Source organism: Homo sapiens, chromosome 6 (assembly GCF_000001405.40).
Source record: "Homo sapiens chromosome 6, GRCh38.p14 Primary Assembly".
In the NCBI taxonomy this organism is placed as follows: Eukaryota; Metazoa; Chordata; class Mammalia; order Primates; family Hominidae; genus Homo; species Homo sapiens.
Genome location: NC_000006.12, coordinates 41,025,159 through 41,039,527, shown reverse-complemented (window position 1 = coordinate 41,039,527; position 14,369 = coordinate 41,025,159). Strand labels below are relative to the sequence as shown.

At 50.5% G+C, this 14,369-nt stretch overlaps 1 protein-coding gene across 1 annotated transcript, besides 3 other annotated features; it reads left to right on the top strand.

Annotated features, from left to right (window-relative positions):
* The first annotated feature begins 306 nt into the window (after positions 1-306).
* UNC5CL (unc-5 family C-terminal like) lies at positions 307-12,633 on the top strand. Its single transcript, NM_173561.3, has 9 exons — positions 307-366; positions 4,393-4,838; positions 5,347-5,647; positions 6,382-6,644; positions 7,391-7,492; positions 7,780-7,847; positions 8,773-8,873; positions 9,027-9,140; positions 10,933-12,633. Exons 2-9 carry the CDS (start codon positions 4,454-4,456, stop codon positions 11,153-11,155), a joined length of 1,557 nt encoding a protein of 518 aa, NP_775832.2. The 5' UTR covers positions 307-366; positions 4,393-4,453; the 3' UTR covers positions 11,156-12,633.
* Positions 11,230-11,339: a silencer, noted in NCBI's record as "silent region_17171". NCBI's record gives its function as "represses an Ori minimal core promoter by ATAC-STARR-seq in GM12878 lymphoblastoid cells {active_cell/tissue: GM12878}" and the evidence as "EXISTENCE:reporter gene assay evidence [ECO:0000049][PMID:35858748]".
* Positions 11,480-11,679: an enhancer, noted in NCBI's record as "active region_24499". NCBI's record gives its function as "activates an Ori minimal core promoter by ATAC-STARR-seq in GM12878 lymphoblastoid cells {active_cell/tissue: GM12878}" and the evidence as "EXISTENCE:reporter gene assay evidence [ECO:0000049][PMID:35858748]".
* Positions 11,750-11,819: an enhancer, noted in NCBI's record as "active region_24498". NCBI's record gives its function as "activates an Ori minimal core promoter by ATAC-STARR-seq in GM12878 lymphoblastoid cells {active_cell/tissue: GM12878}" and the evidence as "EXISTENCE:reporter gene assay evidence [ECO:0000049][PMID:35858748]".
* Positions 12,634-14,369: the final 1,736 nt, after the last annotated feature.

Genomic DNA, 14,369 nt, shown 5'->3' with positions numbered 1-14,369 from the left:
GGCTGGGGACAGCCACTCACCAGCAGAGGGCACTGTAAGGAGGGGTTTCAAGGTGCAGCACCTACACCCAGGTTGTCTCCCTGCCTCCCTCCTTCCTTCCAGACCTAGACTGGAAAGTTCACTGACTTCTGGGATCCTCAGCTAATCCCTTACCTGGGCTGGACTTTGCCAATAGACAGGGACACTCTCCCTCACCCCTCTTTAGACAGCTGGGAGGCAGGGCTCTGCCAGGAAATGCCAGGCCACTCCTGCCTGGATTCCCCGCCCACCTCCACTTGTCTGCTGGCCTGCCGACTGAATCTGGCTGACCCTTGTTTCTCGGAGAAGGAACTGGACCAGCCAGCAGCCTCTAAGAGCTCCTAGACGGTAAGTTGAGCACCCCCTTGGGGCAGCTGGAGAGGGGATGGGCATTGTGATGGGGTTACCTGGAGCTTCGGGGGAGGAGCCAGGCCAGCTTAGCCTGCCTGCTGGAGTGTAGGGACCCTCTGCTGGAGGAGGGGAGGAAAATGGGACTTGGCCAATGGGTATGAGGACCACTGGGATGATTCTGTGTCCTGCGGAAATGTCTACTATACTAACAAATGCCATTCATGACTTGGGTTTGGACCATCCATCCCAGTACTTGTTATGTTCTGCAGTAACTGGACATCTATCAGGTGTTGGGGAGGCACAGGGAGAACCAGTGAGGTGGAGGAAAGGTTGAGAGTTTTCTTAAAGGGTATGAGCAGAACTTTGCAGCAGGAGTTTGGATCTTTGTGCTGGAGGATGCAACTGCCTAGGGACAGGTGATGGCAGCATTCTAAAGGACTCTCGTTTCGGGGACCCGCTACCCAGGGTGATCTGGGGTCTGGAGCAAGACAGACTGGAGGAGTGGGTAATGAGGAGTCCAGGCATGGGGTTGGGATGCCCCAAGTCACACTCGAATGGCTGCAGTGCTATAGTTGCCATTCAGCAAGACTCCGGACCTTTCCCCATTCTGGAGCCAGAGGGAGGATGCAGTGAGGGCCAGGGCAGCCTGGAAGAGCAGTCACCCTGGGAGAGGCCCAGTGGGGCTTTGGGAGTGGTGCATGCCAACTTCTCCAGGGTCGGAGGTTGAGCCAGGGGACTCTACTGCACCACCCAGTGAGGTGCACCTCACTGGGGATCTGGACTCTGGTCTTTGGTGGCCCCAGGAAGGTTACTGCTGTGTAAGCGAGCTGGGGCCCCTCCTTTCATCCCTTTAGCAATTCCATCCCCTGCCACTGGTACCTTGGTAGGTGGGGGTGTGGTGTAGTGGGGTGGGTATTACCACATAACTGAGGATGTAAATTTAGGTCCTTCTATTTGTCTTTACTTCATTTTTGCTTCTTTCTCTTCCAACTTTATTTCTTCTAGAGAAGGAAAGGAAGATACTTGGGGAAAAGAAGGGGTGGAGAGAGAAAGGGGGTATCTCTGGAAGTCCTTGTTCGTCTTTGCTCCTCCTTCCTGCCTGTCTTCAGTTGTTTAGTAATTCCCTATCCATCTTCACTGTGGGGAGAAAGCTCGGATTCCTTATCTGTGAAATGGAGATAAAAATAACACCTCGCTCCTAAGGCTGCTGTGAGGATGAGATGAGACAAGCCATGGAGAGTGCTTTAACACAGTGGCATTGAGTAAAGCTCTGCGAATGTTAGCTATTGTTATTACAGTTGGAATTATAATTATTACTAATGTGAAAGAACCAAAAGAAATGATGGGACATCAACGGTAGCTTGCTGCTCCAACCCCCTTCCCATCAGCTTTGGGACACTGCCAATTCACTGATTCACCTGTGTGCCCTCCAGGATGCCTGGTTGAAAAAGGCTGGTGCATTGTCTGCTGGGTTGGCTCTTTAGGCAAAGAGAACAATGCCAACCCCCGCTTCTTATTCACACTTTCAGTGAGGACATGGGAGAAACAGGTACTGCCCCAGTCTTCAATCCTGAGGATACAGTGGAGGTTCTGCCCTGGTCTAAGAGGCACTAGGAAGGGGCTTCAGTTTTCATGGGTCCTGAGGTTGGAAGGAAGAAGGTGGGCCAAGCCTCAGTTCCAGGTGGGTAGTGCAAGTGAAGGGCGTGGGGAGGACTGGATACTGGAAGCTCTTCCAGTGCAGCCTCTAGTGAGTCAACCAGAGGGGCCTCCCAGGGCTCTGAAGGAGGACGTTGTGCCTCACAGAACTCAGCTACCAAGCCAATGAATTCCATTCCTGCAGAAGCTCCTTGAGAGCGGAATAAGACGTCATCTTTGGCAGGATTGAACTTCCCACAGTGTCCGATACACAGCCGGTGCTTAGAAAATGTTCATTTGAGTGGGAAAATCACACATGACAGCACATAATCAAGAGTGACTCAGTATGGTGGGATGGCTGTGGAGAGAGATTTCGCGAGCTGGAGGCTGTCAAAGGCCGGTGCACCAGCGGGAGGCACTATTGAATGGGAGGATCCACGTAGGGAGAGGAAACAAGTGGGGAGAGCAAGTGAGTGGAGAAACAGAAAACAGCATGAGCAAAAGCCAGAGGCTAGAATTAAGCAGGTGTGGGGAGCCTGGGCAGGCTACAGGGCAGGCGTGTTGGAAATTGTAGGGGCTGGAAGAGGGGAAGTAGGAGGAGGCGGAGGTGGGTTCTGGAGGGCCTCAGGAAGAGCTACTGGGAAGTCTCAGCCTGTGGCCTGGCTGGGTAGCCAGGTGAGCAGGAGGTGAGTGTATGCTTTTGCCCTGCCTCATTCCAGCTTCACTGTAGGGCTGCATCTTTGTGTTTTGTCTTCTTCATTTTTTTTTTTTTTTGCTTCCACTTTTAGCTTTTGTTGTTCTTGTTGTATGTTGCCTATCCCTGTGAGCTACCTTCAGGCCTTTCTGGCAGAAGGAGGGGCATAAAGAAACACATACATTTGGACAGTGCTTTCTCATCTACAAATACTTTTCACATGACCTTATGCCATCCTCACCATTACACAAAGAGGCACTTTTTCCCCACTTTTAATAGCTTCAGAAAAGAATTACAAAGTTAATACAAACTACATGCTTGATGTGAAAAATTCAAAGTACAGAGAAAAGGATTTAAAAAAATACAAAGTTTTTATTCACACCTTCCACCTTCTCAATTTGTTGTGACTCATGGGAATAGTTTGGGGGTGTGTCCTTCCAGACCTGCACAGTCTAAGACCGGATTCATTAGTACACGTGGCTACTGGGCACTTGAAATACAGCCAGTCCCAAGTGAGCTGTTCTGTTCATATAAATTACACATGGATTTCAAAGACTGGGTATGAAGGAAGAAAGTAAAAATATCTCATAATTTTATATCGATTACCTGTTGAAATAACATTTTGAATATATTGGGTTAAATAAAATGTATTAATTTCTCCTGTTCTTTTTAATGTGGCCATCAGGAAATTTAAAATTACATGTGTAGTTCACATTACATTTTTATTGTACACCACTGCTCCAGACCTTTCTCTATACCTTTACATTTCCATATATGCACCCATAAATATGTATCTATTTATATGCAGTTTTGTTTTTCACATTAATGAGCTCAGAATATTTTATCTCTCTGCGACTTGCTTTTTCCACTTATAGATTTTTTTGTATCAGCACTTGTAGATCAAGGTAGATATTTGGACAGATGAGGAAACTGAGGTACATTAAGCAGTATTGAGGCAGGAGGTGGGATTTGATTCCAGGCCAGATAGAAAACTGGCTGAAACAGGGAAAAGGCACCAAAAGCACCTCTCCATAAGACATGCCCACCAGTGCCATGACAGTTTACCACTGCCATGGCGATGCCTGGAAGTTACTGCCCCTTTCCATGGCAGTGACCCGAAGCTACCACTCCTTTTTCTAGAAATTTCTGAATAACCCACCCCTTACTGCATGTAATTAAAAGTGGACATAAATATGATGGCAGAAATGCCCCAGAGCTGCTACCCTGGGCACACTGCCTAGGGTTAGCTCTGCTCTGTAAGGAGCATACCTCTGCTGCTGCTATACTCTGCCACTTTAGTGAAAGTTGCTGTCTGACACCACTGGCTCACCCTTGAATTCTTGCCTAGGTGAAGCCACAAACCCTCCCAAACTAAGCCCCAATTTTGGGGCTCTCCTGCCTTACATCAATATGATAAGTTTACCCAGCCACAGTGACCAAGGTGACATTTGAACTCATGTTCTCTAACTGTAAACCCAAGCTCACTCTGCTTCAGAACAGTTTACCTTGATGTATTAGGTCACGGGGAGCCAGGGTAGGTTCTCGAGTAAGAGAGACAGGTTAAAAGAATTGGTGTGACTAAAGTGTGCAGTGTGCGCTGGAATGAAGACAACTTGCAGCTATGTGTAAGCCAAGCCTTGACCTCCACAACTTAAAAGGGCTTACCCTGACACTGACCCCTTCTTCCCCACCAGGCCTTTGGCTTTGGCTGGCACAGGGGTGAAGGAGAGCCAGCGGCATTGAGTAACCAGGCGAATGTGCCCCCAGGAGAGTTCATTCCAACCCTCCCAGTTCCTACTGCTGGTGGGGGTCCCAGTGGCAAGTGTCCTCCTTCTGGCCCAATGCCTTCGATGGCACTGCCCTAGAAGGCTGCTGGGGGCCTGCTGGACACTGAATGGTCAAGAGGAACCAGTGTCCCAGCCTACCCCCCAACTAGAAAATGAGGTCTCAAGGCAGCACCTGCCAGCCACACTGCCAGAGATGGTTGCCTTCTACCAGGAGCTACACACACCCACTCAAGGCCAGACCATGGTCCGCCAGTTGATGCACAAACTGTTGGTGTTTTCGGCTCGAGAGGTGGATCACCGCGGCGGTTGCCTGATGCTCCAGGATACAGGCATCTCCTTGCTCATCCCACCAGGTAACAGCTCCTGGCTCTCATCTCCGCATACAGTTGGTCAGACTGTACATTAGGTCACCACATCTGAGGGAGCAATGTTCATAGACACCTTTTACTTCTGATAATTGTTTATATTTTGAGTATAGCTTTATTGACTTCAGGGATGGACATATTACATATCTTTTGGGACAACTTCCTGGCAGGTGGAAGTAAAGTGCCTTGTTCTAATGAATCAGTATGCTGTGACAATTCTCTAGTAAAGGGAGGGAAGAGCACCATTTGCAAATTCACACAAGGCACACTATGGGCTAGCAGCAGCCTGGGTGGAAAGGGAAGTGTCTTGCTTAGGGTTACACTACAAGTCAGCTCCACAGTCGTCTTACTCTTGTTCATACCACTTCCCTGTGTGCCCTGCTGGGGGTCTCTCCTGGGCTCCTGCCCCACCTCCTTTCTCTCTGGCCTGGCCTCTTTCAGGGGCAGGGGTGTGCCTGCCTACCAGGCCCATCTCAGCTCTCCCTCTCCCTGCCAGGTGCTGTGGCTGTGGGCCGCCAGGAGCGGGTGTCTTTGATCCTGGTGTGGGACCTGTCGGACGCCCCATCGCTGTCCCAAGCCCAGGGGCTGGTAAGCCCTGTGGTGGCATGTGGCCCCCATGGGGCCTCCTTCCTGAAGCCTTGCACTCTCACGTTCAAACACTGTGCCGAGCAGCCCAGCCATGCTCGCACCTACAGCAGCAACACTACCCTGCTGGATGCCAAGGTATGGAGGCCCCTGGGGCGGCCGGGGGCCCACGCCTCCCGGGATGAGTGTCGCATCCACCTCTCCCACTTCAGGTAGGCACATGCCATTGGCCTGTCTTCCCACACCCATCTCTCTGAGGACTGTCTTTCCTGCCCACTTTCTCTGTCTGCCTTATCTTCATCTCTCTGTATAGAAGATGGTCTGCAAATCCTTTATCCCCTGGTGTCTCTTTCTGGCCCCTCTGTCCTAATGTTTGTAGCAGTTTTTCTCACATCAATCATGTCCATGACTGCAAATCCCATTGCTGTCTCTCTGTCTGTCTGGAAGTGTCTGACTCAGCACCATCTCTCCATCTAAGAGGGACCTGTCTTTCCCATCTCTCTCTGTCTTTCAAATTATCTCTCTCTACACTGTGCCCCTTTCAGGACTGTCCCCAGGCTTAGCACCAGTTCTCTAAGACTCCATTCCATCTCTGTCCTTCTTCTCTTTGTCTTTCTAGAGTCCTAGGTCCTCTGCCTCCCAGCCTCCTTGCCACCCATTGACAGGAATAGGGCCATGTGCGGGTGCCCTCCCAAGCATGGTCACCCTGAGCCCACTTTCCCTCTCTCCCCTGCCAGCTCTCCTCCCCATTCAGTCACCAGTCACTGTGACATGCTCACTTTTCATCCCCAACCTACCAGTTCCTCCCTAAGTGCTCCCCTCGAGTGTTCTCTGAACCTCCTTGAAGGCCCCACAGAGGCCCCTCAGGTGGCAGGAGGCTGGTGGCAGTGTGTTGGTGTCTTAGCCTTCCCTGCACATTAGTGCCTGCCACTGGCTCCCTCTGCAGCCTCTACACCTGTGTGCTGGAGGCACCTGTGGGGCGCGAAGCCCGCAAATGGCTGCAGCTGGCCGTATTCTGCTCACCGCTGGTGCCAGGACAGTCCCATCTGCAACTGCGTATCTACTTCCTCAACAACACGCCCTGCGCCCTGCAGTGGGCACTGACCAACGAGCAGCCCCATGGTGGGCGCCTGCGTGGGCCCTGCCAGCTCTTCGACTTCAATGGGGCTAGGGGCGACCAGTGCCTGAAGCTCACGTACATCTCAGAGGGTGAGGGAGGCAGTGGCCTGTGGGATAGGATGATCGGGAGCCCCACAGGAATGAAGGGTTCTGGGCCTCCCCTGGACATCTGGAGATCTGGGGATCCCAAGTCTCTCTCTCTTTTTTTTTCCCGAGATGGAGTTTCGCTCTGTTGCCCAGGCCGGAGTGCAGTGGCTTGATCTTGGCTCACAGCAACCTCCGCCTCCTGGGTTCAAGTTATTCTCCTGCCTCAGTCTCCTGAGTAGCTGCAATTACAGGTGCCCACCACCATGCCTGGCTAATTTTTTTGTATTTTTGGTAGAGACGGGGTTTCATCATGTTGTCCAGGCTGGTCTCGAACCCCTGACCTCAAGTAATCTACCCGTCTCGGCCTCTGAAAGTGTTGGGATTATAGGTGTGAGCCACCACACCAGGCCCCAAGTCTGTTTGTGACCTCTGGGCCAGCAGTAGCCTCATGGAGCCCCCAGGGCTTTGACCACTCTGCTGTCTACTGAGCCCTTGCCACTCACTCCTTGGACAGGGTGATGCCAGGTGGCAGGTGGGAAGGAGAGGGGTTATACCCCACAGAAGCAGGAAAGGATGGAAGGCTTTTATAGTGCAAGGGCCCTCTTGGGGTCCCAGCCCAGGCTCTGGGGATTCCCATTCCCTTGAGACCCTCCTGCCTTTGTTCTGTCCTCATGCCTCCCCACAGCCCCCTTCAATACTTGTTTAAGGCCCCACTCTCTGAGGCCCTCTGCTGTCTGCCTACTCACCAGGTTGGGAGAATGTGGATGACAGCAGTTGCCAGCTGGTTCCCCATCTCCACATCTGGCATGGAAAGTGCCCCTTCCGCTCCTTCTGCTTCCGGAGAAAAGCAGGTAGTCCGGGAGCCCTGTGTGTACCTCCTCCCCTCTCTTTTCCCATCCTGTCTCCTCTCCTTCCCTCCCAGTAACCCTGGAGCTCTGCAGACCCCCATGCAGCCATGCACACAGACCTTCCCTGAAAGGCCAGGAGCCACACAGATCTTTGCAGAGAGAAAAATGGAGTGTTGGACCCCAGCTTCCTCAGATTTCCCAAGTCTTACTATAGAGTCCCTTACCTTCTCCTGCTCTTACCCCAGGCCGTTTCCTCACTCACTGGCCACGCTGTCACCTTCTCTTTATAGCCGATGAGAATGAGGACTGTTCAGCACTAACCAATGAGATCATTGTCACCATGCACACCTTCCAGGATGTGAGTTGGAGCTGAGGGGCAGAGGAAGGGCAGGGCCTGGGGGAAATCCTAGGCAAAGTGGGCACAGGGTCTGGTGCCCAGTAACTATGGTCTTAATCACATAGGTAAAGATGGCACTTTCCATAGAGCCCCCATACCAGCTCTTTGAGGGGCTGAGATCATCTGGGCTCCAAGTTACCCTCATCCCTGACTCTCCTTGTCTATCGGTGGATGAATCCAGCAGGAAGCTAAAAGAACCAAACCCTAGTTTAACCCCTTCTCCCAACTCAGAGAACTGGGGCATCAAGTTGATATGGTTTCTTTCTAGGCTGATTGTCTACATTTGAGAGATGATGTTTGGTATCTTCAGTGTGGGATTTGAGAGATGATGTTTTGTATTTTCAGTGTGGGAAGTGACCAGGAAGAGGGTCTTGAGTAGGCAGGCTGGGAGTTAGGTATCTCTCCTCTCCTGCTGCACCAAGGGAAGATGCGAAGAAATCGGAGTTGAGAGTCTTTGGGGAACCATAGTGGCACCTTAGTGGAGGGCAGGCAGATACCCTGTTGTCACTTGGAGAAGAGGAAGGGAAGGTTGGAATGGAGGAAGGTACACATATGGCTGAGATCAGTGTCTCTATGGTTGGATGACCTCCCACTGCTCCACGGCCCCACCCAGGACTTCCCCTGGTGGCTCAGGCTGCACTCTGGTCTTCATGTCCCAGTTCCCAAAGAGCTCAGGGGCAAACATAAGGCTGAAGGTGCGGTTCTGAAGTCACAGGGAGACAGTGGGTAGAGGGTGCTGGGTGGAGCAGGGTTGTATCTCCTGGTAAGGTGGCTCTGAGTGACAGACTGAAGGAGAGACATGAGGAATGGAGGTAGGACTCCAGCTTCTTACTCAGGGGGATGGCTTGTGACCCCTAAGTGTGTTCCCTGCCCTGTGTTGACTCAGGGCTTGGAGACCAAGTATATGGAAATCCTCAGATTCCAGGCATCAGAGGAGGAATCCTGGGCAGCGCCACCACCTGTTTCCCAGCCGCCCCCATGCAATAGGTGAGACGGGGGTTGCTTGGGCTGCTGCCTGGGGGATGTTGGGTTCCTACCCTGGCACCCACAGGGTGACTACAGCATTTAGGGTGCATATGGGAGAACCAGAGTGGGTCTGTTTGTCCCTTTCTTCCAAGAACACCCTTTTCCCTGCCTAAGGCTGCCCCCAGAGCTCTTTGAGCAGCTGCGGATGTTATTGGAGCCAAACAGCATCACCGGCAATGACTGGCGCAGACTGGCCTCCCACCTGGGGCTTTGCGGCATGAAGATCCGGTAGGAAGAGGGGTGAGGTCTGTGGATGGTAGAGGAGGGTGGGCTGGAATGGGGTTCCTCAGGACACTCTGGAGACTGGATCACAGGCAAGGGAGTGACTTAAAAGTCAGAGAATGGCTACTGTCCACCCTATTTCCCATAAAAGGGCAGCTCTATTAATCACTGTATCATCAGTACCTAGAATGATGCCTGGTGCATAGTAGGTGCTCAATTAACATTTAACAGTGAATCCATTAACATGGAAGTTATTTGGTACATGTTGAGTGCTTGCCATGCTATGCCCTGAGGAGGAGCAAGACAGATTATAGGATAATGTGTGTAAAGCATGTAGCTGGGTGCCTGACACTTGTTAATTCAATAAATGTTATCAATAATGGTGACAGTGCAGTCATGATCCCTGTCAAGGAACTCAGAAAGCAGGAGAATACTGAGCTAAGCTCCAGAAACTACACTATGAGTGCAGCGGTCAGGGAAGACTTTATCCTGGTGATGGGGCTAGAGCTGGACCCTGAAAACAGGGTGGATTTTTATTTATTATTATTATCATTATTTGAGACGGAGTCTTGCTCTGTCGCCCAGGCTGGAGTGCAATGGCGCAATCTTGGCTCACTGCAACCTCCATCTCCCGGGTTCAAGTAATTCTCCTGCCTCAGCCTCCCGAGTAGCTGGGATTACAGGCACACGCCACCATGTCCAGCTAATTTTTTATTTTTAGTACAGACGGGGTTTCACCAGGTTGGCCAGGCTGGTCTGCAAACTACAGGGTGGATTTTTAAATCATTCATTTAAACATTTATCAAGTACCTATTATGCCCTGGAAACTGTGCTAAGCACTATGATACAAGATGAATGAGGCATGGTCCCGGCGCCTAGGAGCGCACACACTAGTAAAGGGTTCAGAGAGCTTGAAAAATAAAGGCAAGTGTTCCTTGTGCCTTCCTGTAAGAATCCAGTATTGTATAACACATTGAAGAGAGACAGAAAACAGCTGAAGCAAGAATAATAATGAACTGCGGGCGTTATGACCAGAAGTCTGAACTGAGGGATGCAGAATGTTCTCTTCCACCTGGGAGGGGTGAACTAGAAAGGGCTTCAGGGAGGAAGTGATGGGGAAGAGATCAGCCATTTTGTTTTGGGGAGTAGCAGAGGTGGCTGTGGGTGTAGTGTGTGCAAGGCGAGAAAGAGAGAGGCCTGAGCTAAGGGGGTTCAGGATGGGAGAAAGGAGAGAAAGCATAAAGACAGGGCAAGGCCAGGTGCTGGATGAGCCAGAAAGGCTCATGGAGCGTGGGCTGGTTAGGAGGTGAGAGACTCTGGAAGGTTTTAGTGGACGGGAGAGTCGTGATAAAAAGCCATGGTTTACAGCAACTGTTTCCTTAGTAGTGAGCAGGATGTTGTGGCCTAGGAGAGAGGGAGGAAGGAGGGAGTTAGGAGGCTAGGGGGAGGCTAGGGGTGTATTTGGAGTGGGGGAGGTAGAGAAGGCAATTACAGAACATCAGAACTGTAGCAAACTTAGAGGTCCTCTTGTCTAAGCCCTCATCTTAATAAGAGGAAACTGAAGCCTAGAGAGGAGTAGGGGTCAGAGTTGGCCTCCAAGCCAGGACAATCTCAAGTTTCAAAGCCCTGGGGCTTCCCACCTCCTGTGCCCTGGAAGGCAGGCAAGAGCAGGACAAGGACAAAAGCTACAGGATGGGGAAGGGACGGACCTTGCGCTGCGCAGCCCAGGGAGCCTGCAGCAGGGGGGGAGCCCCTCCCTGCTCCTACACCCTTCTCTTCCTCCCCTACCTCGGGCCAGGTTCCTGTCCTGCCAGCGCAGCCCCGCAGCGGCCATCCTGGAGTTGTTTGAGGAGCAGAACGGCAGCCTGCAGGAGCTGCACTACCTCATGACCGTCATGGAGCGGCTAGACTGCGCCTCCGCCATCCAGAACTACCTGAGTGGGACACACGGCGGCAGCCCAGGCCCCGAGCGCGGGGGCGCCCGGGATAACCAGGGCCTGGAGCTGGACGAGAAGCTCTGAGCGCCCAGCGGGCAGGGCCGGAGGAGGTGTAGGGGCGAGAGGGGTTGTTCTCCTACGCCTAAGAGGAACACAGCAGCTGTTCCTGGCTGTGCCCACCACCCTTCCCAGAACCCTCGGACGGTGCCAGGGCCGCCCGCGTCCTCGCCAGCCTCCCAGCAGCAGGCGCGCCCTTCCGGCCGCGAGCTGTCCCGCGTGCGGGTCCCCTCCTGGCCGGCAGAGGGCGCAGGAGCCCAGGAGATGGCCTCAGCGTGGCCAGCCTGCCAAACTGACCAGGGGACGGCCACGGTCCCCGCGTGCACTTTAGGGCCGGTCAGGCCCTAAAGTATTCACTGAGCACTTAGGAAGACCGGGCATTGGGCTGGTGTCATGAAGAATACTGGAATATAGGAGGTAGGGTCTGGAGCCCTGACAAGCACACAGTTCTTTTGCAGGAGTCAAGATGTGCTCATAGGAGCCAAGGGCAAACTCGAAAACAGCCCTGCCCTGTGGTTAGGGGAGGTGGGTGTGGCTTTAGGAGTTGAGAGGGGAAGAGCTGAGTGCGGGCTGGAGCAGCGAGAATGCTTCACGGAGGATGTTGGGGAGAGAGGATTTGATTTGCCGAGTGGTTTGGAGATCTTTAGGGGCGGGTAGGGGAAGAGGGTGGCTGGACTTAAGGTAGGAGCCGAAAGTGGGCATGGGAGCCCATCCCCGTGGGTGTGAGGCCGGGGTAGGACCAGGCTTCCCGGCTAGGCACGCCTGGCTGGCTGCCTCTGCCTCTACTAACTTCCTTTGTCTCTTTATCCTCCTGCTTAGGCCGTGTCTTCCTCTCTCTCTGCCATTTTCTCTATCAGAAAACATTAAAGCTGAGTAGAAACTTCAAGATGATCATTCTGGCCCAGCCCTTTTATCTCTTTATCTCCAATGGTGTGCGTTTTAAGTTTCTCTGACTTGGTTTTTCTGTCCCTGTCTCCCACAGTTGTTCCCGCTCTGCACCTGTGTTTCAGTTACTCTCTCTCTCTGTCTTAGATCTTTTTGTTTCTGCCTAGTCTCTGTGCCCTGTCTTTGTGTGTTTCTTTCTCTGCCTGAAACCCTCCCTCTTTTCCCTTCAGGCATATGTCTCTAAACCAATGTTATGTATCAAAGACTGTTGAAAGAGACAGGGCTACTCTAGGAATGGATGGGTGGGGATATTTTCCCCATGGATCAAGATCCAGTTTAGGGTTGGGAAATAAAGGATAGGGATAAAAGAGGCACCCCATTCAGTCAGCAGATACTTATTCAGCACCTACTATGTGTTTGATACTGTATACAAAAGACATGAATGGGCTGGGTCCTGAACAGAGAATAAAGGGTTTGACTCCATTCTGGAAATTCTTTTGTTTGCAAACAGGTGTTGTTAATTTGTTCAAAGGCAGGCAAACAATCTCTCTGGCAACACAATTTTCTTCTGTATTTAATTAAAAAATATTAAAGCTTTTTTTCTATGATGAATGATAAAATATGAAAATTGCCTTCCTTTGTTACTAACTATATTTTGCTCAGATTGGCAAATTTGGATGTGAGTATGAATGATTTTATTTGGTAAAATTGTACCTATGGGGATGGGTTGGAGGGAAGCATTTTGTAGATTGTGCTTCCAGTATGAAAATTACCTGGGTCCCGCATGGTAAGTCAGGGAGGTTCCCTTCCTTTTCTGTTAGATGCAAGCCTTCAGAAGCAGGCCTTTCCATCCCTTCCCTGTTCCCCTATCCCCACCAGTCCTCTCCTACCCTTCTCATCTGTCCTCCTTACCCCATCGGGTGCTGCCAGTCACGCCAGATTAGTGCCCCGGACTTTTCCCCCTTCACTTAGCTCAGGATTGAACTGTGCAGTAGCCCGGCACTGTTTAGCCAAAGACATCATTGTGTTCCTTCCTACCCTGGAAAAAATCATTTTAAGAGTTTCACATCTACTGGAGTTGCAAATAGAAGCCACACAGATTCCAGTGATGGGAATAGAATGCTTTCTGGCCCCAACTCCAATTTCTCAAAATGCGTTTCCAGTGCTGGCAAAGGGAGGCTTGGAAATCCTGGGGTAGATGCAGGCCAAGTGATTCCTATAAGGCAGACACTTCCTTTCTCACATCAAACCCATTTGGCATGTTATGTATTGGCACCTAATGCTGAGAGATGGTGTGCCCCAGTGAGCATCAGGAGACTTAACATTTAGCCCTGACTCATACTAACTAGAACAGCTCTTCTTTGTGCTTTAAACTCTTCCTTGGAATGAAGCTACCATATTAGAGGCTGTCCCAGGGCCTTTGATTTCATAGACTTATGCAGAGGTGGCACACTGGTCACCCAAGGAACGTTCACTTGGGGATTTTTTTTTCTTTTTGAATTGCCTTCAAATAGCAAACAATTGATCACTGCTTGTGGCCTTACTTCCAGCCCTTTCCCTGATGAAGAGTTGCCTAAATCACCTGCTGAAAAACACTGCGTTTGTGATTTCTGCTTTTTCACATGTTGCAGAGGCCCACGTCTACACTTCCTCCTGCTGGATTTGGAGTCTGGGGAAAGGCGATGGGGAAATGAAAGGGTAAGGTTGGGCCTAGGTCTGTGGGGTTGGAGCCTCTAGTGCTCAGAGGAAATGTGTGTCCTTGGCATCCCCTTTGACCACTGAGCAATATTTATGCTAATGTTCAGATCTGTGCTAACAGAAATTCAATGAAAGCCACATATATAATTTTACACTTTCTAGTAGTCACATCAAAAATTGTAAATAGAAATAGGTGAAGTCAACTTTAATGTTTCATTTAACCTAATATATTCAGAATATTATTTCCACATGTAATCAATATAACATTAATAGTATATTTTACATTCTTTTTTATATTATTTGGAATCTGGTGTATACTTTGCAATTACACCACATCTCAATTTGTATGCTAATTTTTCATTGGAAAGATTTCATCTGTATTCAGCTTTTATACAATTTATAGCTAAAATGTACATTTACATACACAAATGAGCCAAAAGTTTTCCAAAAATGGGATTAGGTATCAGTTTTTAAATTTTAGTTCACTGAAATAAAATAAAAATTCAGTTCCTCAATTGCACTAGCCACATTTCAGTTGTTTAGTGGCCATGTGTGGCTAGTGGGTACTGTTAATGGACAGCACAGATCTGGGTTAGGAATCCAGCTGGGTATAACTTTATAGTGTTTTTACCATTCACTTATTTATTAATTCGTCAAA